Consider the following 26,839-nt stretch of genomic DNA (forward strand, 5'->3'; position numbering starts at 1 on the left):
GCCCAGCCTTTGCATTACTTTTAATAAATCACAAATTATATGGGTCCTTTACCTTTAAATCAGTTTAATGTAATAGTACAGAATAACCTCCAAAAGCCCATTGTGCAGCCCAGAAAGATTCTCAAGATTCTTATCATTAACATTGTCAAAAGAAAGGAACAGACAGGAAGGGAAGAAGGGAGAGAGATAGGGGAAGAAGTAGAAGAGAGGAGAGAAAAGAAAGGGGGGAGAGAGCAACAGAGAGGAAGGAAGGATTGAATGGCATTTCACACCAGCAGTCCTTTAAAGGCAAGAATGGTGAAATAATCCAACTGTCTCTGACATACAGTGAACATTCAAAAAAAAAACCAGCAATTGCAATGGTATTTTACTGTATATATCATTATAATTAATATGCCAGGATATCAAAGAAGAGAACTATAAACATATCTGTGTACAGCTGGCAGGCCATTTTTAGGTCGAAGTATTATTTTATCTTTTATCAATTCTCTTTTTGTTCCACCAGAGTCACCAGCCAGAAGTAGAAATGCAGAAAAAGGGGCATATACACTGGTGAGGAAATGAGGAGAGGTAGCAAGGGTCATTAGAAACCGTTTTTGGCCATAGTTTGGAGACCATTACTTCACATTGACTATTTCTTTACGGGAGAATAAAAAAATCTTCAACAAAAAGATCAACTGAAATCATTCATTCACACAACGTTAAGTTAAAAGGAAGGACAAATGGGGGAAAACCATGACTTTGATGGTCTCCATGCCTTTCTGAAGCTGCCTTGCTTTGAGTTGAGGTTGACAGAGTCCATTTGGAGATTTTTGACCTCTGTGCACATGGAATGCTATTGTTCATTTCCTGAGTGCTAAAAGGCTACACTACCTTTTTTGTGGAACTGAGATGTATTTTGTTCTTCTCTTCATTTAATCTAAACATTACTTAAATATCATCTAAGGACTTTGGCTGAGCGCATTTGAAACAAAGTCAGGAAAATTCAAGACCGGGGGTCCAGAGGTAACTCACCACTCCTGCATAATGGACAAGTTCAAAATGAGCTTCAAATTTCTTCTTATCAGGCTTGGGCTTCTGGAGATGAACCGACTTTCCAAAATGGTTGTCAAAGAGTTTGGTCTTGAAAGTCAGGTCTGTAGCCTTAGGAAACATACACTCTTCTTCAAGGATGGAAAGGATGCCCATTGGCTGTTGAAGAGACATAAGAGCAGCAGATTTCTTTAAAAACACCGGCACTTTCAGTAGGGGGTCAGTATAAATTCTTTCCCAGGAACCTAATCAGTTGACAAAGGGAAGAATATTCACTGCATAAAACTAGCAATCATCCATTCAACAAATATTAATTAAATATCTGCTACTTAATAACGATACCAATAGCCGCTGGTGATTGATGCAGCTGTGAGCCACATATACAAAGTGCCTGTCCTCAGGGTGCGTACATTTAGTGGAGTGGCAGACAGTAGGCAAGTAAACAAAGAAATAACTCCAAAAAACAAATGACTTAGTTTCATATAAATGCTCTGAGGAAAACACTCAAAGTAAAGAAGTAGAGAATGACAGGGGGTAAGGAGGTTTTAGATAGAGTCATTGGGTAAGACACCTCTCCTGAATGAGAACAACAAGCTGAGAAGATCTGTGCACAAGTATTCCAGGCAGAAAAATGAAGAATGCAAAGGCCCCGAGGCCAGAGCCCACTTGGCAAGTCTGAGGTCCTGCCAGAGGCCAGTGTGGGCAGAGAAAAGCTAGCTTGACGGAACACATTTTAAGAGATAATGTCAAAGGGGTAAGGAGCAGCTGGAGCTCAAAGGCCTTATAGGCTGTAGTAAGACATGTGGCTTTCATTTTAAATGTAATAGGAAGCCTTTGGAGGCTTTTTAAATGAAGTGCTGTGATTTGATATATGCTTAAAGAGGATCATTGGTTTAGAAAGTAGGGCTCATGGGCTCAGTCCTGCCTGCACTCTGTACTGGAAAGCCAGTGAGCTAAGAATGGCTTTTACATTTTTAAAGAGTTTTAAAAAACAAACAGATTGGGTGAGGTGGCTCACGCCAGCACTTTGGGAGGCTGAGGCGGGCAGATCACCTGAGATCAGGAGTTCGAGACCAGCCTGGCCAACACGGTAAAATCCTGTCTCTAGTAAAAATACAAAAATTAGCCAGGAATGGTGGTGTGTGCCTGTAATCCCAGCTACCCGGGAGGCTGAGGCAGGAGAATCGCTTGAATCTGGGAGGCACAGGTTGCAGTGAGCCCAAATCACACCATTGCACTCCAGCTTGAGCAACAGAGAGAGACTCTGTCTCAAAAAACAAAAAAACAAACAAAAAATGTTACTGCAAATCTCATGACCTCCATTAGCACACTTTTTCTCTAAAGGACCATATAGTTTCTGTCAGACCCTTGCCATCCACTTAGTCATTGAAACACTGAAAGCAGCATGCAACAACATGTAAACAAAATGAGTGTGGCCATGCTCCCATCAAACTTGATTTACCTAAACAGGCTGCAGGCTAGATTGGGTCCACAAAGTCAGTTTGCTGACCCCTGGTCTAGAATAGTGGTAGTGTTGGAGCTTATGAGAAGTCATTAAAAATAAGATATGCGTCAAATTTAGAGCTGAGTGCCAACTTGCTGATGGAGAGAATGTGGTGTGTAGGAAAATTTTATTGCATTTATATAGCGCATAATTTTTAAATGCATTTTTACTTTTATTAGACTTACAAATCCTTTACTTGACTGCAAATTTCCTGAAGGCAAAAACTATTTATAAAAAATGCTTACATTTTTCTACAGCATTTTACGCAGAGTCTTATACACAGTAGTGTGGTAGAAGGCCTAAAATTAAGGCCCAACATTATGTGTGCCTTGACATCTGGGAAAAACCAGGAGGGGCTCAAAAGTTCCCTTTCTGTTGTGCTCCCATGTGTTAGATCCCTTAGCCAAACACCTTCCTTATGGCAGGGACCATACATAGTGCCTGCTTATACCTGAGTAACGGGTTTCATTTCTCTATCAGCCCATGAAATTATTCAAACAAGCCTGTTGCATCCTTCTGTAGGATTCTATTGTCACGTCACCTATAATTACTACAAAGCCTGCCTCCTAAAGCCCCCGCTTGTTCACTCTATTCTCAGCATAACCCTCTCATGGCCCCGCATGGTTCAAGGTGTCCCCCCTGCAGGCTGTGAGCATAAGTGGCTAATAAAATGCTGGTCTCATCTGTCTAGTGTTGGATGTCATATGTTCAGCCTTTCCCATAAACCTAGGGCAGGATTTCCTCCTTCAGCAATGGGGTGAACAGGAAGCAACCAAAACAAATAGTTGCAAAATAGACTTACTTATTGGTTTAATAAAAAATAAAAGCCTCTGTTTTAAGGCTTATTTCCAATAATACTAGAAGTTCCTGGAGTGCCAGGATGATGCCTTCTGGGGTTTGTACATCATAACCCTTATCATAGTAGGTTCCGAGGTAACTAAAGTGTAGGCCCTCAGCACATTTCTGCTGAGTAATTAATTGACAGGTGAACCCTGAGACATACAGGTCTGAGTTCTGGGAACTTGACTGCTTTGCTGTGATCAATTATCAAACAAAATGTAAGAGTTGCCAATCAAAAAAAGGATGGAGTTATGTGTTTAAAGAGAATACTCATGTGCATACAAGATACAACTAGATATTAATATGATTCATTTTATATTAAAAACACAAGAATTAACACATCTGAAAAGCTTCTTTTGGGAGGTGATAACACATAATGCCAAGATGCTGCCAGTATTTAAAATATTTTAGAACTTTCTTTGGGATACCTGATACTATTGACTACTAACATGAAAAATTCCTGTTGTCTGATGGTATATCATTACATGCTAGGTAGTATAGTTTGGACTCAAAAACCAGTGAATGAAAAGTATTGAAGCCAATTTTCTCTTGAGGCTGGTAAAATTCTAAAATCTATCCTAATCCCAATATCGTGAGAAATTTTCCAAAGAGCTAAATTATTGGAAGAAGTATGTTGCCTTCTAGGGTGTTTACACCAAATGAATAGTAAGTTTTTAAATGTATAACTTGGAGAGTATTTATTAGGAAATAATAGGGAAAATCTCTTTACCAATGCCTTATGTATAACCATAAATATGTAATCATATATTAATACTTTAATATGTAAATTATTGATGTACAAGTTCTAAACAAACTAGAATATTTCAAGTAATAAAATAAGTATGAGCAAATCCTATAATAAATTTGTTCACAGCACAAATGTGAAAGGAGGTCACGGTAAACTTGAAGACCAAATTAACAATTAAAGTTTGTGTTAGAATACATTTTTTACTTTAGTTTGATATAAACTTTTTTTTTTTTTTTGAGATAGAATCTCACTCTGTTGCCCAGGCTGGAGTGCAGTGGTGCGATCTCAGCTCACTACAACCTCCACCTCCCAGGTTCTAGCTATTCTCCTGCCTCAGCCTCCCTAGTAGCTGTGACTACAGGCATGCGCCACCACATCTGGCTAATTTTTGTATTTTGAGTAGAGACAGGGTTTCACCATGTTAGCCAGGCTGGTGTCAAACTCCTGACCTCAAGTGATCCACTCACCTTGGCCTCCCAAAGTGCTGGGATTACAGGCATAAGCCACTGCACCCAGCTGATATAGACTTTTTTGTAAACTTACAAATATGAAACTTTTATGTAATGAAAATCCTTTTTTCTTATACGTATACAGAGATGCATGTTATACAACATTTTATATATATTGATGTGTTTTAGTACTTTCAAATTTTAAAAACATCCCATTATGCATTTTATTTCAAGGACTGAGTTTGATCATTAATATTTGCTACAAATCTTCTTCAGATAGCCCCAACGAACATAATGGGTCTTTTCAAAATTTAGAATCTTTTCAAGGAAGGCTTTGGTATTTTCATTTGCCTGACCTGGATCCTGTTAAAATTGTTTGTAGAAAACCAAAGACTTATCTTTTCCTTTTATCATTTGGTCAGTAATTTTTTCTCATTTTATTATATCAGTAGAAAATACAACAGGAAATTACATCCGTGATGCTAGTGTGTTATTTGGAATAACCAAGACTGGCATAAATGAGGCAACAGACTTCAGATCAACTAAAAATCAGTAACATTCACAGAACTTGTCAGGATCTGAACAATGTCTATGTCCCACGTTCCTGCCTGAAAACAGTATCTTGTCATAATCAAAGTGAGTATATATTATAGGTGACAATCGCCAGAAGATAAATCTGTTCCTCTGAGGACCTCCAGTTCTTTTGTTTCATTTCTAATGAGACAACTACGGCTCTTATAAGGCCAGAATACATACCACATCATAGTTGGTTCATCTTTATCACTGTTTTTAATCAGCTCATGTTTGATTCATTATTAATATGTTTTAATCAGCCTGTCTTTCCCCCAGGAAGTTCACTTGTTATAAAATAAATAAAATCAACGGGATATCTACTCCTGTTGGAAATAATAGTTATTTTCAAGAAGATCTAAAGCCTAATAAATGAAATTGATAGGACACGGATTGATAAAACCCAGGGCTTGCAAAGGACAGGGAGAGGTCAGTTGCCCTAGCTCCTTCCTAGCAGGATTGTTGAGAATCAACTGTGACAGCATAGCTAGAGTATTCAGGAAATGAAAGGCTTCAGACTGCCCAGATCCATCTTGAAGATTCACTGCAATCCACGATTATGGCGAGGCCCAAGAGGCATGTAACTGCTAACATGCCGCCATGCTTGCTCCCATGGAGAAAGCCACAGAAAGGACCATACGTAATCCCCCAGCAAACCTTGCTCATCTTTCCCAGAACATGCAGAAAGATTTCAGAGTATTGGGACATCACCAAATTCAGAAACTGTACACTGCAGCTAATTTACTAATAAGCCATGAAGTATTGTCATAAATTACTTAAACTAACTGGTACTTGTCCAATTAAATGAACAAACTACATCCTGCAAGGTAGTGGCCTTGAGGATTGATGGCAGTTGTTTGTTTGCATGCTAATTTGCCAAATTTTGTTAAGCTGCTCTGGGTCTACTCATTCACCTTATGTTAATCAGTTAGGCCCTACAGTGCTCATATTTTTAGCTCTGTGTTTTTCCAGTCAAGAGCATGACCATTTTTAAACTCAACAAGTTTCCGCTCACGTTAACAGTGGAGGCCATGCATTAGCATCAAATGTGCAGTGAAAGCCTGCATTAGAGATGATGGAGTGGGGCAACTGACAAGAGAGTTTCGTTTGGATGCCACAGGTGATGCACACAAACACCATTAAGATAAAATGTGCAGGGCTTTCCGCCCCCATTTCCCATCCTCTGATAGGGCCTAAGTCCTGACATGGATCAACATAGCAGGCAGGGACAATTCTCCCGAAATGAAAATGGACAAAGAGAAAAACATATATTACCTTCTCAATGAGATCTATGCAAGCTTGCAAATCCAGACCAAAGCCAATAGACACCCATTCAATGCTTTCTTTCTTATATTCCTCTTGCTCCAGAACAAACATGTGCCAATTGAAGAATTGTTGTAATTTTTCATTGGTAAAATTAATGCAAAGTTGCTCAAGGCTATTATACTTCAAGGATATGAATAGGTAAGAAGAAGAGATAAAAATAAAATTGAGGTCCACTTTCAAGAATGTCCAGTAAAGAAAAAACCATAACCATTATTATATGATCAGAAATAGACCCAACAAGTAACAAATGCTCAATTAACTTAATTAATTGTAATTTTGAATTGTAATATCATTAAGTACAATTTTCTAAAGATTATTACAATAATATAGCACTTAATGGTATTAAAATTTAAAATCATAATTAATTCCTTTACCTCCATTTACCTTTATGTAAGCCAGAATTAAGAAATCAATAAATACTTAATACCATTAAGTATAACAATAATTATTATTGATATTAATTATAGCTCTTTTCCAAACAAGGTAGCCCTTAAGGTTTGCATAGAATGATCCCCATGCTTTGACCATATTTTCCCATCTTCAAGTAACGTTTTCTAATCTTCTTATAAATATGCATTGACTTCCTTCTTACCAGATACACTTACCTCAAGGATTTCAAAACCAGTGATGTCAAGAATGCCAATGAAGAACTGCCTTGACAGCTTGGCATCCAGGGCCCTGTTGATCCGTGCCACTAGCCACTTAAACATCCTTTCATACATTGACTTGGACAGGGCACCGACAGCACAGGTTACCTAGAAATCACATTGAAAACACTCCTTCATCTGACTGAAGTGTTCATTTTAATCCCGGGCATTCTCTATCAGCAACTGCCTTCTAGTCAAATTAGGATGTCTTTATTGACCTTCTGTGCTTCCAACATTCTGCTGAATACAATGAGAAAAGGAAGAAAAGAAAGAGAGAGAGAGAGAAAAAGAAAGAAAGAAAGAAAAGGAGAAAGAGGAAGGAAGGGAGGGAGGGAGGAAGGAAGGAAGGAAAGAAGGGAGGGAGGGAGGGGGAAAATGAAGGGGAGAGGAAGGGAAGAAAAAGGAGGAAAGGAGATGGGTAGGAGAAAGGAGTAAGCTAGCCTGGTGCCTCTTTATGAAAACACAGATGAGAGGAATCATGTTCCTATTATTAAAGGACTAACTATCCCGGGGTATGGTGTGGTGATGTGTCCCAAAGCCTTGCTATTCAAAGTGTGATCCTAAGACCAGCAGCAGCACCACCTAAGAGTTTGTTAAAAATGCAAACTCTCAGGCCCAGTCCCAGACCTACTGAATCAGAATCTGTAAGCTAACAATCCCCAGCTGATTCCTATTGACAAAGACTCTCTCCTTGACCAAACTTTAATGAGGATCCTCTGACCCCTTGCCTCCACCTTACCTGTCCTGTCTTCAGCCTGTCTAGCCCAGCTGCAGGAAGAAGTCTGCTGAATCACTCACCCTTGATCTCTGATTAAATTCCTTATCCCTCACCTTTGATGTATATGTTCTTGGCCTGCCTTTAGCAAGAATCCTGTTAGGTCAATTTAAAAAAATCCTCCTACCCCCTGTTAGTAATTTTCCATCCACTGATCCCCTCCTTCTGGTCTTGGGCTGTAAATCCCCACTTATCCTTGTTTTACTTGCAGCTGAGCCCAGTATCTCTCCCCTGTTGCAATATATCTATTGCAGCAGTCCTGAATGAAGTCTTCCTTACCATCTTAATAAGATTCAGAATATTTGTAATACTATGCACAATAGTTTGAAAAGTAGTGGTATAGTACATTAGAAATTTATAATCCCTAACCCTTGTTCTGCCACTGCTGTAGCTGCTATAAATTGTGTAACCTTTGGCAAGTGATCTAACCTTTCTGGAAAGCAACATCTTCATCTGAAAAACACTCTTAAAGGATCTTCCTAGCCTTAGCTTCCAACTCTTTATTATATTAGTTCCCAGTTTTGCTCTCAACAACCTGGACAGAGAATAGCCATTTGTGAATCATTCTGACTCAGATTCTCCTGCTGTAAAACTGAGGCTGCCTTTTCCTTCCCTGGAGGGGTGTGGAAAAGGTTCTAAAGTAACCTACTGGGGAGAGCGCCAACCTTTGTGCCTGGATGATGCTCTACAAATGCAGATCCTACTTCCATAACTCCAATAGCGCTGCTGTAGTAGCAGGTTTCTGACATACTCCAAGGAAGGGAGAATTTTAGCTGGCCATTCTCCAAGCCTGGAAACAGAACGTGCTCCAATCACTTAACATTTAAAATAGACCTATCACATCCATCCTTCTGCCCAGGAGAGAGCACACAGCAGGAGCCAGTTGGTGTCTGGTGGTGATTTAGTTATGAGTCACCCACTCCCTGATCAGTTATCTTGAGTCATTTCCACAGTAATCCATAAGCCGGATGGCATCACAGTTTTTTATTATCAGCATCAAGAGCACACACGTACAAATAAAGCATCAAGAATGATTTTCATCCTCTGTAACACTGAAGAAATCACTCTGTCTACAGCAGTCACTCTGAAACTTTAAAAAGAACATGACTAACTTGCTCACCCCCTTTTAATTCCCTAAATACTTGAGAAGTGGGAGTGGGAGAGACACTGTTAGGTCAGGTGTGGCAAGTAGTGGAGAAACACAAGAAGAAAGCCTGGAAATGTAGGCAGTAGGATAAATGGATGGTAAAGGTCTGCTGAATGAATTCATGAAACAGATCAATATGTTGCTCACTAATTAATCATTTTCATCATTTTCTGTCCAATGGAGAGGAAATGAGGTGGCTAAATCTATATTTCCACTTTTCAAGGGTTAAATGCACCCATTTCTTAGCTCTTTTTAAAATAACCTCACAGAAGGCTTTGGTTACTGGGGGGCAATAGTGCATATAGAAAACAACAACAGAAAAAAAATAACAAAGTCAAATAGTTAATCTTTTTTGTTTGTTTTTGAGACAGAGTGTTGCTCTGTTGCCCAGGCTGGAGTACAATGGCACGATCTCAGCTCACTGCAACCTCCGCCTCCAAGGTTCAAACGATTCTCTTGCCTCAGCCTCCCAAGTGGCTGGGATTACAAGCACACACCACAATGCCCGGCTAATTTTTTGTATTTTTAGTAGAGACAAGGTTTCACCATGTTGGCCAGGCTGGTCTCAAACTCCTGACCTCAGGTGATCCACCCGCCTCGGCCTCCCAAAGTGCTGGAATTATGGGCGTGAGCCACCGTGCCCAGCCAAAATTTTTAACTATGTTGATCCCTCTCTTTCTCATCTGTAAAATAATAATAATGAAATATGTGTAGCTCAGGGTTGTTGTGAGATATCCAGTGAGACAGAGGATATAAACTGACAGCATATTTGACGCTTAGTATCCAATAAATGTTAATCCTCCCTTTTCCACCCCTTTTCTGCTTTTATCACTTTCTCATCCTCACCCCAGTATTTACTTACTAGTTGTGTCACCTTGAGTGGTTAATCTTTCTAAGGGTCACTATCTGTAGCTGTAAAATAGAAATAACAAGACCTACTTCATAGGCTTGTTATTCGATTAAATGAGATAATCCATACAAAGCACTTAGTACATCACCTATAGTTAGTACTCAGTGGACATTATTATTATTTTATTATTAATCATAAAGTAACTTATTTCTAGGTGACATAGTTAGAAATATCATGGAATCATAAAATACTAGACCTGAAGATCCTTAGTTCTTGATAGTCATATATAGCAGCTTTCACCTTGGGATGGTATCTCCTCAAAGGAGGAATGCATTTAGAAATGCAAGTGGCATTTTCTGGTTGTCACAGTGACTAAGAATGCTACTGGCATTCAGTTACCTGGGGGCCAGGAATCCCAAACATCTACAGTGTGCAGGACACTCTCATCCATAAAGAACTGTCCCATCTTAAATGCCAATTACCATTGAGAAATACAAAGTTGTTCAACCACTTCACTGTGGGGCTCAGAGAGATGAAGACAATTAACCAAGGTATCAGAGTTAGTTAGCATTATAGCTAGAACTAAATTTTGTATAGAATGTTAACGTTGCAAAAATTTTTCCCATCTTTTGCAATTGTCATCAACAGAGCATACATGTCTCTATTTTTAGCAATGGCAATTGTCTCTATAAAATCAGAAAAATTCCTAAGGGAAAAAAAAAAGCCTTAGAGCATGCTTTCTTACTATGTCTCCAGGAGAGAGAGAGAGAGCGAGAGGAGGAGGATTTTTTATTTTAATGTTGAATAATAATATATTAGCTTGTTTCACTGGTCCTATTATAGTAAAGGCTGGAGTCCTTACTATAATATTGTGTCTTTAATTCCTCAGAACACAATATTAGAGAGCTGAAGACTTGTTCTCAGCCCTCCTAGGGGCTCCTTATTTTTTTTTTTATTTTTTATTTTTGCTTTTTTTTGTTTTTATTATTATTTTAATTGATAAATAATTATATATATTTATGAGGTACAGAATGATATTTTGATACATGTATACAATGTGGTAATGATCAAATCAGGGTTATCAGCACATCTATACCTCAAACACTGATCATTTCTTTATATTAGAAACATTCCAAATCTGCTCTTCTTGCTATTTGGGCTCATTAGTTTTATACAGAGAAAAACCCTGTTCTATAAACATAGCATGTCATGCATGCATGTTGTGGTGAATGTCTAAGAAGGTATGAAACTGCTGAACAACTCTAACCCCCTGCCAAGAAATAGCTCAGTTATGTGTCCTGCTGATCGTGATTCAAGTTTAGCTCAATGTAGTCTATTTTAACATGCGTGGAGCACTTACGGCTTACAGGGCATTGTTTTAGATGCTTGGAGTACTAAGATGAATTAGACACAGTTCATGCTTCAAAGAGGTTAGAAGACAAAAATCTAAGCAGATTATTTCAATATAGTATAGTTAGTATTATAGTAGAGGTAGAATTATCCATTTATAGAGTAAGCTAAATTAATAAATTGATTTTGATCAGTCATTTAAATGTTTTAAATAACACAGACACATCAGTTACCTTAATATACCAAGGGAAACACATCTATTCTAGTCATCATATATAAGATGACTGTCTTATATTACAAATTTGTACATTTGTCTATCTCTTTTTCAGAGTTAGGGTGTATACTGAGTAAGACAATCAGTATCACCTGAGTACTAGCTATATATCCTTTGGAATGTTACTTAACATTCTCTTTGACTCAGTTTCCTCAACTAGGAAAAACATAAATTATGCATTTCTGCCCTACTTAGCTCTGAGTATTATTGTAAGAATAGAAGGCAATAATACTGTGAATGCTTTATCCATACTATGTGTGACACCACTTCCTCTTTCCAGAAAGGCTACATTTCTCAGCCCCTTTCTGTAGCTAAAGGTATTATTTTACTAATTCTTACCAATGGACTGTTAGTGAAAGTGATATTACTTCTAGCCCAAGCAGTTAAAGGTGGTTGTACTTTCTCTGCAAATGATCTTTTCTCCTTGTGCAGTCACTTGGGAGGCCGTGTGTCCCAGATGGCATAGAACTACAAAGAACTACATAGAACTACAAAACAGAGAAGGCTGTATACTCTGTATTGCACTTGATGTAAGAAATATTTTGTTGTCACTGAGATTTTAGTGTGTGTGCATTACTGCAGCCCAGCTTATCTCATATTTTCCCTTACACACTACAGATATAAATTATTATTTTTGAAACATACTAGCATGCTTAGATGGTCTCATTACCCAGTGGCCCTGGGAATATTTACTGCATTAAGGCAAAGCCTCAAAGAATTTGTTATTCTCTACTATAACATTCTCCTGGATGCTAAACAAAATCTGCATGGCGTTCCATCTCTCATTTCTGTTTTCAACACACACCTCCTTTCAAATATTGATTTTTAGCATATGTCCTAAAACTGTTTCTCAACTAACGTGTCACCATGTGTCTTTTATGCCAAAGGAGCCAATATGCCAAATACGTGAAGCATGCCAATTTGCCAATTTTATCCATGTTAGGAATGAACAGCTTTGAAAGCTTCCTCGCTGGATGACAAAGATGTTGATCACAACAAGTGGAGGGTTTGTCTGCATCTGCAAAGATACTTGCTACCTAAGGGAAAACTTTCAAAATGTATGTTTCAGACAAGAGCATTTACTGTGGTGTGCATCACAAGTAAAAACATTTGGAATAGTCATCCCAAGAGCTCTTTTTTGCTTATTTATAGAAGCTTTCATTATTGCAAACATCCTTAGTAGTTGAAAAATATACAGTACAATATATATACAATTATTGGAAGATCATAGAATAATAATGCTCTTGAAATATCACCTTACCTGTTCTATAGTTTGACCTCTGGTAACATATTCGTTACCAACTTTGATTCTAGGATGGATCAAGCACTTTACCAACTCAGAGGAGTTAATGCCCATGAGGAAAGCAGCTTTGTCAGCATCTGGTCATCAGAAATAGAAGAAAAGGAAGGAGAGAGGAAAACACTGTTAAGATTCATTCCATTATAGCCAAACTAACTACCCAGAGGACAGAAAGATAGTGTGTTTACATCAGCGTAGCAAAGTAGATTGTAGTTTTCAAATAAATGCCTGAATCCTAAAAGTTTAAAGGAAATTATTTCTTCGAAATACAAGTCAAAGCCACATTGAAATCTCACTTCTTCAGTTTGTTGGCATTAAGGAAAAAGAAAATATAATGCCACTCACAGCCACTAGAATGACTATAATCAAAACGGCAGACAATAACAAGTGTTGACAAGGATGTGGAAAAATGTGAACCCTCATGCATTGTGGGTGGGAATGCAAAATGGTGTGTATTTGCCGTGAGAAACAGTTTGACAGTTACTCTGAAGTTAATCATAGAGTTACTATGGAACCCAGCAATATCACTTTTAGGTACACACCCAAGATAAATGAAAACATATGTTCACACAAAAAATTGTACACAAATGTTTCTAGCAGCATTATTCACAATAGTCAAAAGGTGGGAAAAAGTGAAATGTCCATCACTGATGAATGGATTAAAAAATGTGGTATACTCATATAATACGATATTGCTAGTCATTTTACAAAAATGAAGTATTGATGTGCACTACAACATGGCTGAAACTTGAAAACATTATGCTAAGTGAAAGGAGTCAGACACGAAAGGCCACATATTGCAGGATTCCATTTCTATGAACTGTTCAGAACAGGCAATCCATAAGGACAGAAAGTCGATTTTGGTTGCCACAGGCTGAGGAGAAGCAAAAATCAAAATAACTACTAATAGTTGCTACTAAAAGTTTATTTTTGTGATAATAAAATGTTCCGGAATTAGATAGTGGTGGTTGCACAGCCTTGAGAATATACTAATACCCAATAACTATACAGTTTAAAAGGTGAATATTATGGTGTATGAATCTTCTAAAAGAGGACTAGTATCAAGAAACAGAATCTTTTAAAAATTGAGATATAATTTGTCTGAAGGACATGGAAAATGCCATCTTTATAATTTGTTTTCTCTTTCTATGTATGTACTTGTGGACTCTTTCAACAAAACACGGACTTGGGCCATGTAATCTGATAATTATAGACAAGCACCAATCAACAGAAGCCAGGACACTTGCCAGCTATCTGTAAAACACCCTTCCTTTCCCGGCAAGGTCTCTGTTTGCTCCGTAGTGCCCTCTGCTGCCCAACAATAATACTTACACCCCACAAAATTGTTTTATGAAACAAAGCTTCCATTTCCTCAAGAAGTGGAGAATAAGTATTATCAGAAGGAAAAGTAAATAGGCATGTATCACTTCAGGTATGAAAAAATGACACAAAATAATGACACAGGCAAAAATTTATAAGCTTATTTCAAATTGTAGATTATTTCAGTTACCAACAAAATAAATATTCCACTCATCCAAAACCCCTCTCTGCTTTCTATTTTAAAGGAATTTGGAGATATGCTAGTATGTCTGGCATAGTCATTCTGTTGAATAATGTCTTATAATAGAAGGTAATGCAGCCTTTCTTTAATTCACTAAAGAAAAAAAAAGCTGCAAATTTTCCAGAGCAATAATCACGAACAGAAAATAAAGTAAAAACAAAACACAATTAGAGAGCTCTATCTCGTCTGTATTAGCAATATCAATTTCCTTTTCACAGCCTTTAAAATGTTTACAAGGCTTAAAATGTTTGAAATGTTTGATTTTCTTATAAACTAAAATCAATATATATAATACATACATTGCTACAAGTTACATACCTACTTTATGTTAGTTTATTTGCAGTGATAATAGCCTGGGTACTTGGTTGCTATGAAACCTTTCAAAACACAAAGCCTATTTGGAAAAATAAATGAAAATCAAAGGTAGAGCAGACATGCCCATCCTATACTGAGATGTGCCTGCTAACAGTGCCAGGTTTGGCGGCAAAAGCTTGATAATTTCAAATTGAGAATCCAGTATGTCAAATCATAGACTTTTTGAACTGAAAGAGACTTTATAGAGTATCTAATCCAATGTGAAAATATTTAAAAGACGGGAAGAAATACAATGTGCCTGGCAACCTGAGTGGAGATGAACAGTAACCAACAATGTGAAAAACAATTTTCCAGTATCTGTCCAGGTTTAAAAAAAAAAAAAGAGAAACATTTGTTTTTTCTAAGCTTTGGAAGCATGAAGAGAGATAATACAGGTAATAATAGTCTCAAAGAATAGTTCCCCATGCCGAGTCTTCATATATCCTTTTTCCAGTGTTAAGCACAGTCCTTTGAGTCTATTTTTATCCATGAACAAAAGAAATTCAGATTCTCTGAGGAGTATCCCACCTTAAGCTTAACAGAAATAGCATCTAACATTACAGGATTATTTGTCACTTACTCCAGAGATAGTTGAGTATCTACAGACAGGACTAGTGTACCCTGGATTTACTCCAGAGATTTACATTATACATCACATATGTTCTCTGTTTTGGGGGGAAAGAGGAAACAATAGAGGTCATCATGTTCCAAAAAGTAAATTACTTCATTTGCACTAAATGTTTACAGTTTGCAACCAAGATGAAAATGGCGTAAATCTATGACTAAATGCCCATCTGACATTCAGGAACTACTGTTGTAAAGATAGCAATATGTGTAAACATATTTTAATCATATTCCCAAATAGGCTTTATGAAATTCCCACCCATAAGCATCAGTTCCTTCAGGACCTTGTGAATGAACCCATGGACTTCAATTAGGCTGCATGATCTTACCTGGGAGAGGTAACATTTAGCTAGAGAGGTGGTTCTCAAGCATCAGTGTGTATTGGAATAGCCTGGAGAGCTAATCAAAGATTAAACAACAGGCTCCCTGAAGCAGGTTAGGGGCTGGGCCGCTCTAGTTTTATCGTGTTACCCAGGTGATTCTGATACACATACAAGTTTGAGAACAAAGTTGTTATTGTGGTAGTCCTCAACTTTGACTGCACACTGGGGTCCCTGGCAAGTTGTAAAAACAAATACTGATGCCTGAAATTCACCCACAGAAATCTGGCTTGTCTGGCTTGGGTAAGGCCTGAGCTTCAGGATTTTAAAAGTTCCCCAGCGATTCTGTTGAGCAGCCAAGTTTGCAAACTACTGTCTAGAGAATAATAACCAGGTTTCGTAAGTTTATTTTGAAATCAGGAAGATGGAAAGAACAAAGTATGACTTCACCTGAAAACAGGTAAAAAGGTAGAGAAACTCAAAAAGGAATCTTTTCCAAATTTCCAATTCTGTCCCAGTTCAGTCCCATCTGCAAATAACCAGATATGAAAGAATGAAGCAAAATCCAGTTTTGTCAGTCTACAGGGGTTATGATAAAGATATTAATCTCTTTTATGGAAGGTTATAATACAATTTTTGAGCTGTTCATATTTCATTAATTTATTAAACAAAGTTAACTGAGCATTTGCTATGTGTAAGCCCTGATGCTAGATAATGTAATAAGAAGATAAATAAACAAGGCAAAAATCCCTGGCATCAAGAAATTATAATCTATGAGAGTAAATAAGACATGGGAAAAAATAGTATGTCAGTAAAACAACTGCATAAGAGACACACAAATCGAGTATCACAAAACTGTGAAGTAGGGAAAGAGCCCTTCTGGACTGCATGACTGGGGAAGGATTAAAAAAGAAACAACATTCAATCTGAGCCTTGAAGGATGACAAGAGTTTTTGTAGGCAAATATGGGAGAAGAAGAGTTTCCTTAACAATGAACAGCACGACTTGAAGCCACAGGCGTTGAAGAGTACAAGGTATGGTCAAAGAAGAGGTTGTAACCCAGAGGGACTGGACTACGATACCAGGGAGTGAGTGAGAAACTGAGAAAAGCGGGTGACTTCTGGTCGCAGAAGACATCTAATGCCGCTATAACATATTAATTAAAGAATGGGGAAATGTTAAAGGAGCTGTAAGCAGAGAAATGACATAATTAGAGTCATGCTTTAGGATGCTTAATTTTGGAAATGTGCAAGACAGACCAGAGTAGGAAGTTTTAAAGTACAGAGTGAACCCATTGCAGAATGCTGAAGTGTGAGATGCTGAAGCTCCAAATTTGTAATGAGAAAGGGAGAAAGAGAGACTGAGAAATATGACTAGGAGGTTTCCAGTCTGAGAAGTAGAAAGAAGAACAATACCATAAATATGAATAGAAATGCCAATAGGAAGACATCACTTAGGGGAGAAGATGATGGACTTTTAGCCATGCAGAGTTTAGGATACTAGAAAATATGCAGCTGAGAGTTGGAAATATGGAGTTGGAACTCAAGAAAGAGGCAAAGGCTAAGATGCCCCTTTGGGTTTGGGTGCCCTTCCCCGTTCCTTCTTCTCCATCTGTCCAGCTCCTTCAAAACCTTCCTAAATAATTAACTGGGAAAAATTTACCAAAGCTTAATATATTAAGAACCCTTAGAATTAAAGAAAAATTCAACACCTCCATTTTTAAAATGAGCTAAAGGTAGAAGCATACTGAAAAAAACTCAGTATCCAGTAAGATGCTTAAGTTAATTATGGTACATTCATACAATGGAATATTTTGTAGCCATCTAAAAAGATATTGCAGAAAAGACAAAAAGATGTTCACATATAATTTGGTAAAAAAATACTAGGCTGAAACAACATGAATATGATCACATTTTTATTTTAAAAAGTTATATGTGCATATTCAACTAGAAAATGCGTAAAAAATATGTCCTTTGGCATTCACAGTGATTGTCTCTGAGTAGGTAGGGTTCACTTAATGAATAATTAGCCATTACTATGTGCCAGGCACATTTTAAAACCTGGAAATATAGCAGTGAACACACCAAATGAGGTCCCTGCTCTTACAAAGCTTACATCTGGTGGAGATTGAGGGGTGGAGGCTAGGACATTCAATAAAAACTAGCTGTATGAATGACATGAAGAAAAATATTTAGATTAGGGGGATAGTGGTGGAGGTAGCTAGAGAAGGCTTTTCTAATAAGGTAACATCCAAGAAGTTACTTTAATAAGTGAGGGAGTAAGACATGAGGACAGGAGAAAAGTTCCAGGCAGAAAGAAGAGTTAGTGAAAATAGTCCTGCAATAGGAGTGCTTACATGCTCCAAAAACATCCAAGAGGCCAGGACATGTGAGTGGAGGGAAATGAGAGACGAGAAAATGATAGATTTCGCTACTAACGGTAGGGATTAGAGAGAGACAGAGAAGTATTGGTTGGTGCAAACATAATTGCGGTTTTTGCTGTTAAAAGTAATGACAAAAACCAAAATTACATTTGCACCAACCTAATATCATAGAGGTTAAGGAAGCTGTGACAGGAACGTGGGGTTTTATTTGGAGCCATTGTTGAGTTTAGAGCAGAAGCAGGACATGGTGGAACAAGGGCTGACTGACACTGTGAAAGGACTGACAGTAGCTTCTGGGTGCAGAGCTATCCACCTATCCATCGTAGGCAAGGATGCAAGCAGGGAGACCAGGAAGGAGGCTGTAGTAAGAAACGGTGGCTCGGGCTAGGTGGTGGCAGTGGGCATGGCCATGGTGATAAGTTGTGAGCTTTTGGATGTATTTCAAAGGTAGAGACAATGAAAAAGAGAGGAGTCCAGGATGATTCTGAGATTTGAGTCAGGGCAATTGGGAGAACCTAGGTGGCATTTTTGAAGAAGACCGAGAAATGAAGAGTTGGTAGTAAAGGCAGGGTGGGATGAAGAGTTCAGTTCTATTCATGTTGAGTTTGAGATGGGCACCAAAGAAATGAGCATAGAAAGGGAAGAGGAAAGATTCAAGGCTGGAGCCCTGAGCAGCCCTAGAGCAATTAGCAGTAGGGAAGATAAGGAAGCTCCAGCAAAGAACCTGAGAAGAAGCCAAAAGGGAGAGTGGAGGAGATTACACATTTCATTTGCTCATCTGTGTTTTTTGATTTATCAGTAAGTATGCCTTGTTTTTGTAATAAAAACCATTCTTTAAGAAAAGCCTTTGTTTTAAAGCATGGAAAAAGCAAACAGGATGGCAAAAATAAAATAAGATGCCATAAAAGCATATGTGAATATGTTAATATATAAGATGTTTACAAGATCTTCATAACACATTGTCTCACTTCATTCACATCTGTGCTGTGTCCTCTTCTCTGAGGGACTGACTTCCTGACCACCCTATCTACAACAACCTCTGTATCCTATTATTCCTTATTTTTTTAACTCTGCTTTACTTCCTTTTTGTATGGAACTTGTTACGTATTTATGTATTTATTGTCTAACTCCCACACTAGACAAGACAGGGACAATATCTTGTTCACGGATGTATCCCTAGCATCAAGAATAGTCCCTAGCACAGACTGGCCTCCAAAATTATTTGTTGCACAACAGGCCAGGCATGGTGTTTCAGGCCTGTAATCCCAGCACTTTGGGAGGCCGAGGTGGGTAGATCACTTAAGGTCAGGAGTTGAGACCAGCCTGGCCAACACGGCAAAACCCCATCTCTACTAAAAATATAAAAATTAGCCCAGTGTAGTGGTGCACCTGTAATCCCAGCTTCCCAGCTACTCGGGAGGCTGAGGCACAAGAATCGCTTGAACCTGGGAAGCAGAAGTTGCAGTGAGCTGATATTGCCCCCCTGTACTCCAGCCTAAGCCACAGAGCAAGACTCTGTCTCCATAAAAAAAAAAAAAAAAAAAATCACAAACTTGTCAAACAACAACAAAAAAATCCTAATTTTAAAAATAGGCAAAGGACTTAAATAGACATTTCTCAAAAGATATACAAATGGCCGATAAGCACATAAAAAGATGTTCAACATCACCAATCAGTAGGGAAATGCAAATCAAAACCACAATAAGATACCACTTTATACCCATGAAGATGGCTACTATAAAAAAAAAAAACCAAAAAACAGAAAACAACAAATGTTGGCATGGGTGTGAAGAAATTGGAAACTTTGTGCATTGCTGGTGAAAATGAAAAGAGGTATGGCCACTGTGGAAAACAATATGATGGCTCCTAGAAAATATAACAGATTTACCATTTATTCTAACAATTCCACTTCTAGGTATATACACAAATGAATTGAAAGCAGAGACTCAAACAGATATTTATATACTAACATTCATAGCAGCATTACTCACAATAGCCAAAAAGTGGAAGCAACCAAGTGTCCATAGACTGATGAAAAGATAAGTGTGTTATATGCATACACTGGAATATTATTTAGCCTTAAAAAGGAATGAAATTTTGATACATGCTACAACATGGATGAACCTTGAAGACATTATGCTAAGTGAAATAAGCCAGTTACAAAAGGTCAAATATTGTATGATTACACTTACATAAGGTGTCTAGAGTCAGAAGGTAAAACAGTGGTTACCAGGAGTACAGGAAGGGGATAATGGGGAGTTTTGGTTTAATAAGTACATAGTTTATTCAGGCTGACATGATGAAAAAGTTCTGGCAGTGGATTACATTGCTAATTACACAACAATGTGAATGTTCTTCATGCCACTGAACTGTACACTGAAACATGGCTAAAATTGTAAATTGTATGTTATATATATTTTATTCATTAAAAATATAAAATTTAAAAAAGTAGTTGTTGAAAGAGTTGAATGAATGGGTTTTCTCTTTTTGTTTCGGTTGTAAGGAATTTTAATATTAAAGGTAATAACAACTATGCTTTCTTCTTTTCATAATTGTGGGGATTTATTTTAATGATCATTCTAGACAGATCATTCATTGTAAGATGCCTCAAATATTTCTGGTAAGCAGATAAGAGTATAGATTTTTTTAAATGTGAAGAAAAAACAAGGAGAAATAAAGCCTCCTGGTCTCACCCCTGTGAGTTAGTTACTTCCCACTGGAATTCCAAGGGCCTTAGTTCACATCTCCATTATGTCACTTAATACATTTTATCATAATTTGCTCCTTATTTTTGTATTTTTATTTTATTTTATTTTTTTGAGACTGAGTCTCGCTCTGTCACCCAGGCTGAAGTGCAGTGGAGCGATCTCGGCTCACTACAACCTCTACCTCCCAGGTTCCAGCGATTCTCATGCCTCAGCCTCCCAAGTAGCTGGGATTATAGGCGTGCGCAACCACGCCTGGCCAATTTTTTGTATTTTTAGTAGAGACAGGGTTTCGCTATATTGGCCAGGCTGGTCTTGAACTCCTGGCCTCAAGTGATCCACCCACCTCGGCCTCCCCAAGTGCTGGGATTACAAGCGTGAGTCACGGTGTCCGGCCATAATTTGTTCCTTTCTCTCATTGTTCTCAATAATCTATGTGCTAAAGGCATACTGTGTCTTAATTCTCCTTCACCCAAGTTTAGCAAATTGACTGGATCATCAATAATTATTGAGGAGTGCTTCTTATTCTGTGATAGGAGGATTCTACATTAGAATGGTAGTTGACAGAACCGTTTTTGAAGAACAGCAATCAAGGGAGACACTATTGATTAATTTTAAGTAAGAGATGAAGTTAACTGCAAGGTAAAGGGGAGCAGGCTTGGGCCCAGAGATTTGAAGTATATACCATATCTTCAAAGTAATTCTTACTTTCTGTGCCATCTGCTTCCAGTTGCTCTTCTCTAGGTTTCTGTTTAAATTTCATATTTCCAAAGTGCATGATGGCTCCAGTGAGTTTATAGCATCCATACTTCTCATCAGGAAGAAAGCCCAAGATGTCCATGGCTTGCTGTAAAAAGAGAAACAGATGGCCCTGTCTTCATTTGCTTAATGGCTGCAGTGAGCACCTCACCCCCGCTGTGTTACACCTCGGGCTGTGGGCTGAGGGGAATGAGACAGACAGCTCTGTTCAAAGCAATGCAAATCAGCCCTGTTGGCACTTGGTCACCCGCAGTCTGCTCATCCCTTTAAAAGAGAATTAGGAAGGCACAAGACTAGGCTTGTTTAGTTCCCAATAGTTTTAGAACTTTCCTTCAATGCCCTGCCTCTCTCTTGTTCCTTCCAGCAACAGATCACTAACTGGCTATATGAGGTCAATTATTTTGCCTTTCGTGGTTATGGCAGAAAGCACCATATCTGCTGAGTTGCTTGTTTCTGTGATCCCACAGGTTCTGACTTTATTCCAGAGGAGACACATTTCAAAGACTGGTGAAAAGAAAGGTTTAAGAAAAGCCACCTCACCATAAAATTGCATCCTAAGAATCCACTGCACAAGGTGTGCATTCTCATACACCCCAGGAGGGAAAAAATTGGTACAATCTTTCTAGTGGTTAATTTAGAATATGTACCAAGAGACTATAAAAAATTCATAATCCTTAGTATTTTCACTTCTAGGAATCTAGCATAAGGTGAATCTGATATACAGAAAAAGTGTTTAGCTACAGAGATATTCACCTCAGTGGGAGTGAAAAAAAACTTGAGTCTAACACTAAGAGAATAGCTCAATAAACAACAGGACAAATGCCTGATAAAATCTTAAGTATCCACTTAAATGTTTATGAAGAGTTCCTAACGATATTTGAAATGCTTAAACGATTAAACTGAGAAAGCAAATTCTATATGCCAAATGTCTATGCAGCATAATTACAGTCTTTTGGTAAAAAACAAAAAACACTAACATGACCATACAAAAGCAGCTGCAAATAGATAAAAACAGAATAAAAACTGTAAAGATATACACCAAATAAAAGAGATGTTTGCCATTGAGTTGAAATATCTTTCTACTTTTTCATAGCTTCCAAAGTTACTATATTGACAATGTGCAGTTTTCTCATAAATAAGTAAACTTTGGACAGAAGCAGCCCTACACCCCTACGGAAGCAAGACCACTTCTCTGGGTCCCTAAGAACAGAACTCTAAGATTCTGTCTTTCATTTCTCATTGCCATTACCAGATTTTGCTTTGACAACTAACAAGCCTTACTTCTGTGGCCAGCAATTCTTCAGCATCATCCAAGCTCTCCACAGTAACTGCTCCACAGGAGCAAAAGTGGAAGTCTGAGGGATTTGCAGATACCAGGAGCAGGTCTAGAGTGGGAAAACGATTCGTTAAACAGCTTAAAGAAATCTGCAAGGCCTTAGAAAATAATTGGTCAATATTCGCAGTTTAGTCTACAGTTTATATCATACTTGTAAACAAGCCAAAATAAAATCCATATTTTAGACCCAAACTTCTACAATCAATGTTTGCCCTCTATTAACTTGTCAGTCATGTGTTAATGCCTCCCAAGAGAAGACAGGCTGGCAAATTCAAAAAGCGGATTCAATTGCAGCAGTTTCAATTGGTGTAAAAAAAAACAAAAACAAACAAACAACAACAACAACAACAAAAAGACACGTAATGTGTGTTGGCAAAACTCTGAAAACAGGAATTTGGCCTAGATTTATGACTGAGGGCTGGAGGATAAAAGTATTTTGTAAAATTATAAGTAGAACAGACCTGAGCTTCAAAAGCTACGAAGCAGCCAGAAGCTGGGGTCAGCGCCCAGGGAACATTAGCAGGGCAACCCTGTCACATCACATCCTCGCTATTAGAGAACTGAGTCTGTCTTTCAAGGGATCCATAAATCAGCTGCTGTGTTCAGTGCTGCACCCTGATATGTCTAAGAGTCCTGACATGATTCACTTAGTCAGGAAACATAATCCAGGCTGAAGCAGAGGCAGGCTGTCAGCCGCGCATCATCAGCTGACTTGGCAGAATCACATTAACCTTTCACTGTCCAACACTTGCTCCCAGTGAAGTTTTTTTGAGCTGATCTTATTTTTCTATTTATTGCTCAATAAAGTGAAAATCGGTTATCTTGAACTCCAAATCTCAGAAACAAAGAAATTGGGCTACATAAATGTTCATAGCAGTTTTGTTAGAAAACAAGTCAAATAACCATCTGCAGTTGAATGGGTTAACAAACTGTTGTATATTCATACAGTGGATTATTATTCAGCAAACAAAGGAATAAGCTATAAATACGTGCTAGAACATGGAAGAATTTCAAAATAATTATGCTGGGTAAAATAAGCCTGACAAGAAGAATATACACTCTATGATTTTGTCTTTAAACATTCTAGAAAATGCAAACTAATCTGTGGTGACAGAAAGCATATTAGTGGTTACTTAGGGACTGGGGCTGGGAAAGGAGGGCTCCAATGAGTGAAAAGGGACAGGAGGGAGGTATTATAAAAGATCCAAGGACACTTTTGAAAGTATACATGCATTATGTTGATTGTGGTGACAGTTTCATACACACTCATATATATGTTAACACTTACCTGTTATATACTTAAAACACGTGCAGTGTACTTTAGGTGAAAAGAACATCAATAAATTTGTTTTATAAAACTTTAAAAATAAAATTGGCCTAGCTTAAATCCAGCAGAAGGTGAATATGTGTATTTTAATAAAAATATCCTGTAAAAATTTTTACAGTACTTGTTTTTGAAATGATTTTTATTTTTTAAATTGACAATTTAAAATTGTATATATTTATGGTGTACAACATGATGTTTTGATACATGTATACATTGTGGAATGGCTTATTCCAGCTAAGTAATGTATCTGTCATTTCACATACTTTTTTTTTTGTGGTGAGAATATTTAAAATCTACTCTGTTAGCCATTTCAAGTATATAATACATTGTTATTAACTATAATCACTATGTTGTACAATAGATCTTCTGAACTTATTCAACTTTTTTAGATTCTACATGGGTGAGATCATGTGGTATTTGTCTTTCTGTCCCTGCCTTATTTCATTTAGCATAATGTCCTTCAGGTTCATTCATGTTGCCATACTTGACAAAAATAACAAGATTTTCTTTCCTTTTCTTTTGAGGCAGGGTCTCATTCTGTCACCCAAGCTAAGGTGCAGTGGCATGATCACAGCTCACTGAAGCCTCAATCTCCCAGGCTCAAGTGATCCTCCCACCTCAGCCTCCCTAGTAGCTGAGACCACAGGTGTATGCCACCATGCTCAACTAATTTTTAAATTTTTTGTAGAAACGGGGTCTTGCTATGTTGCCCAGGCTGACCTTGAACTCCTGGGCTCAAGCAATCCTCCCTCCTGGGCCTCCCAAAGTGCTGGGATTACAGTCATGAGCTACCATACCCAGCCAAGATTTCCTTCTTTTTTTAAAGGCATAATAGTATCCTATTGTGTATATATACCACATTTTCTTTATCCAGTCATCCTTCATGGACACTTAGGTTTTTTCTCTATCTCGGCAATTGTGAACAATGCTGCATTGAACATGGAAGTACAGATACCTCTTCAGGATACTGAGTTCATTTCCCTTGGATGTATTCCCAGTAGTAGATGACTGGATCATATGGTAGTTCTGTTTGTAATCTTTTGAGTGACTTTCATACCATTTTTCATAATGACTGTAGTAATTTACAGTTGACTCAACAGTGAAAAAGGGTTGCCTTTTCTTCACATCTTTGCCAACATTTGTTATCTCTTGCCTTCTGATAGTAAGACAATATCTCATTATGGTTTTTGCTTTGCATTTCCCTGATGATTATTGATGTTGAGGCTTTTCTCATAGACCTGTTGGCCATTTGCATGTCTTCTTTGGAGAGATGTCTGTCAGGTCCTTTATCCATTTTTTAATCCAGTTGTTTTCTTGCTATTGAGTTGAGTTCTTTATATATTTTAGATATTCAGCCCTTATAAGATGTACAGTTTGCAAATATTTTTTCCTGTTCATTCAGTAGATTCTCTCTTGATGATGCACAATTGTTGTATACTTTATGAAGTGAATACACAGGGTTGAGGCCAAATGTCAAGGATTCCAGGACGGAAGGACCTCTTGGTCACTTACCATCACTCCTGGAATTTATACACTAGTTGAATAGCAAGAATAGACACAATAAATAAATAGAAAGAAAAAAAGTCAAAAGAAAAAGAGGAGAAAAGGGAAAATATATGTAGGACCAAGCTATACAGACGGCAGTAAGAACTAAGGATTTTGAATGAGCCCTGTCCAAAAGAACTGAAGAAATGAGCCTTAGCTATGCCTGGAACAAGGGTCAGATATAATTGAGAGCAAAGGAGTGAAGGGGTGCTCATGGCCATGTAGAGGTCAAATAGGGGCTGGCTCTGAGGTAACATGTCACCTCATTTCCTTCGCTCCTTCAGTGGGTGACCAGCCTCTCTGCTGTGATTTCCATACCCAATTCTTTTGTAGTATGGACAAATCCTCATATTTCAGGATATGTGGACATCATCCTCATATCGTTAAGATATGCCCTCTTGTATTAAGCCTCAGGATACTCTGAAGCTCTTCTTTAGCAAACATGGATGGTAAGAGTTCCAGATCATCTTTTAAAATGTCCCCCAAAAGGACAATGGGTGCTAAAACAGGTAGACTGACAATACCCAATTTGGACCACCAGATGTCAGACTTTGCACAGTAATCAATCTCAGCAACCCCCAAAGACCGAAGAAGATAAATGAACTCAGGATAAGCATGCATTTTCCATAGCAGCCCAAAGGCATCAGATGCTTCTATTAGTAAACAGAGTTGCTCTGAAAATAATCTTGCAGTCTCTGCTGGTACCCACATTAGATCTTACGTGTCAGTTGCTCTATACCATCCAGAAACACATGTCAAGAGTGTTAGATTTGATAGGACTAATCAATGGAAGATCAAAAAAAATCCTGTTCCAGGTTGAGGTGGAGAGAAGGTGGGGAGGAGAATACGTGCTGCTTACATGACACCAATTACATCTATGGCAAAAATAATTGTCTCGTTTGCAGAGCTTTCCCCATTTGGTAAGGGTACTTTAAAAACCAAGTAGTCAAAACACTGCTAGATTTATACCATACTTAGTCTAAGCATAATGGACTGGGAGAATTGTTCCCATCAGTTTACTAGCCTGGATCTGTAATCTTACCCTATGTCCACTTCTGTGGGAGCATTGTTGTCCTCAAAGGCTTACCTCAAATGCAATACCTCGGAAATCAA

General features: G+C 38.0%; 1 protein-coding gene across 2 annotated transcripts in view; it reads right to left on the bottom strand.

Moving 5' to 3' along the window:
- The window catches only part of MYH15 (myosin heavy chain 15), a 170,705-nt gene that overhangs the window by 83,256 nt on the left and 60,610 nt on the right, over positions 1 to 26,839 (bottom strand). For both annotated transcript variants that reach the window (XM_011512559.3, NM_014981.3), the window contains 6 exons: positions 22,800 to 22,903; positions 21,468 to 21,606; positions 12,774 to 12,892; positions 7,075 to 7,224; positions 6,419 to 6,589; positions 1,015 to 1,191 (listed from right to left, as the gene is read on the bottom strand). In XM_011512559.3, the coding sequence (XP_011510861.1) occupies positions 1,015 to 1,191; positions 6,419 to 6,589; positions 7,075 to 7,224; positions 12,774 to 12,892; positions 21,468 to 21,606; positions 22,800 to 22,903 (860 nt within the window). The remainder of the gene's footprint in view (positions 1 to 1,014; positions 1,192 to 6,418; positions 6,590 to 7,074; positions 7,225 to 12,773; positions 12,893 to 21,467; positions 21,607 to 22,799; positions 22,904 to 26,839) is intronic.

Source organism: Homo sapiens, chromosome 3 (assembly GCF_000001405.40).
Source record: "Homo sapiens chromosome 3, GRCh38.p14 Primary Assembly".
Classification (NCBI taxonomy): Eukaryota; Metazoa; Chordata; class Mammalia; order Primates; family Hominidae; genus Homo; species Homo sapiens.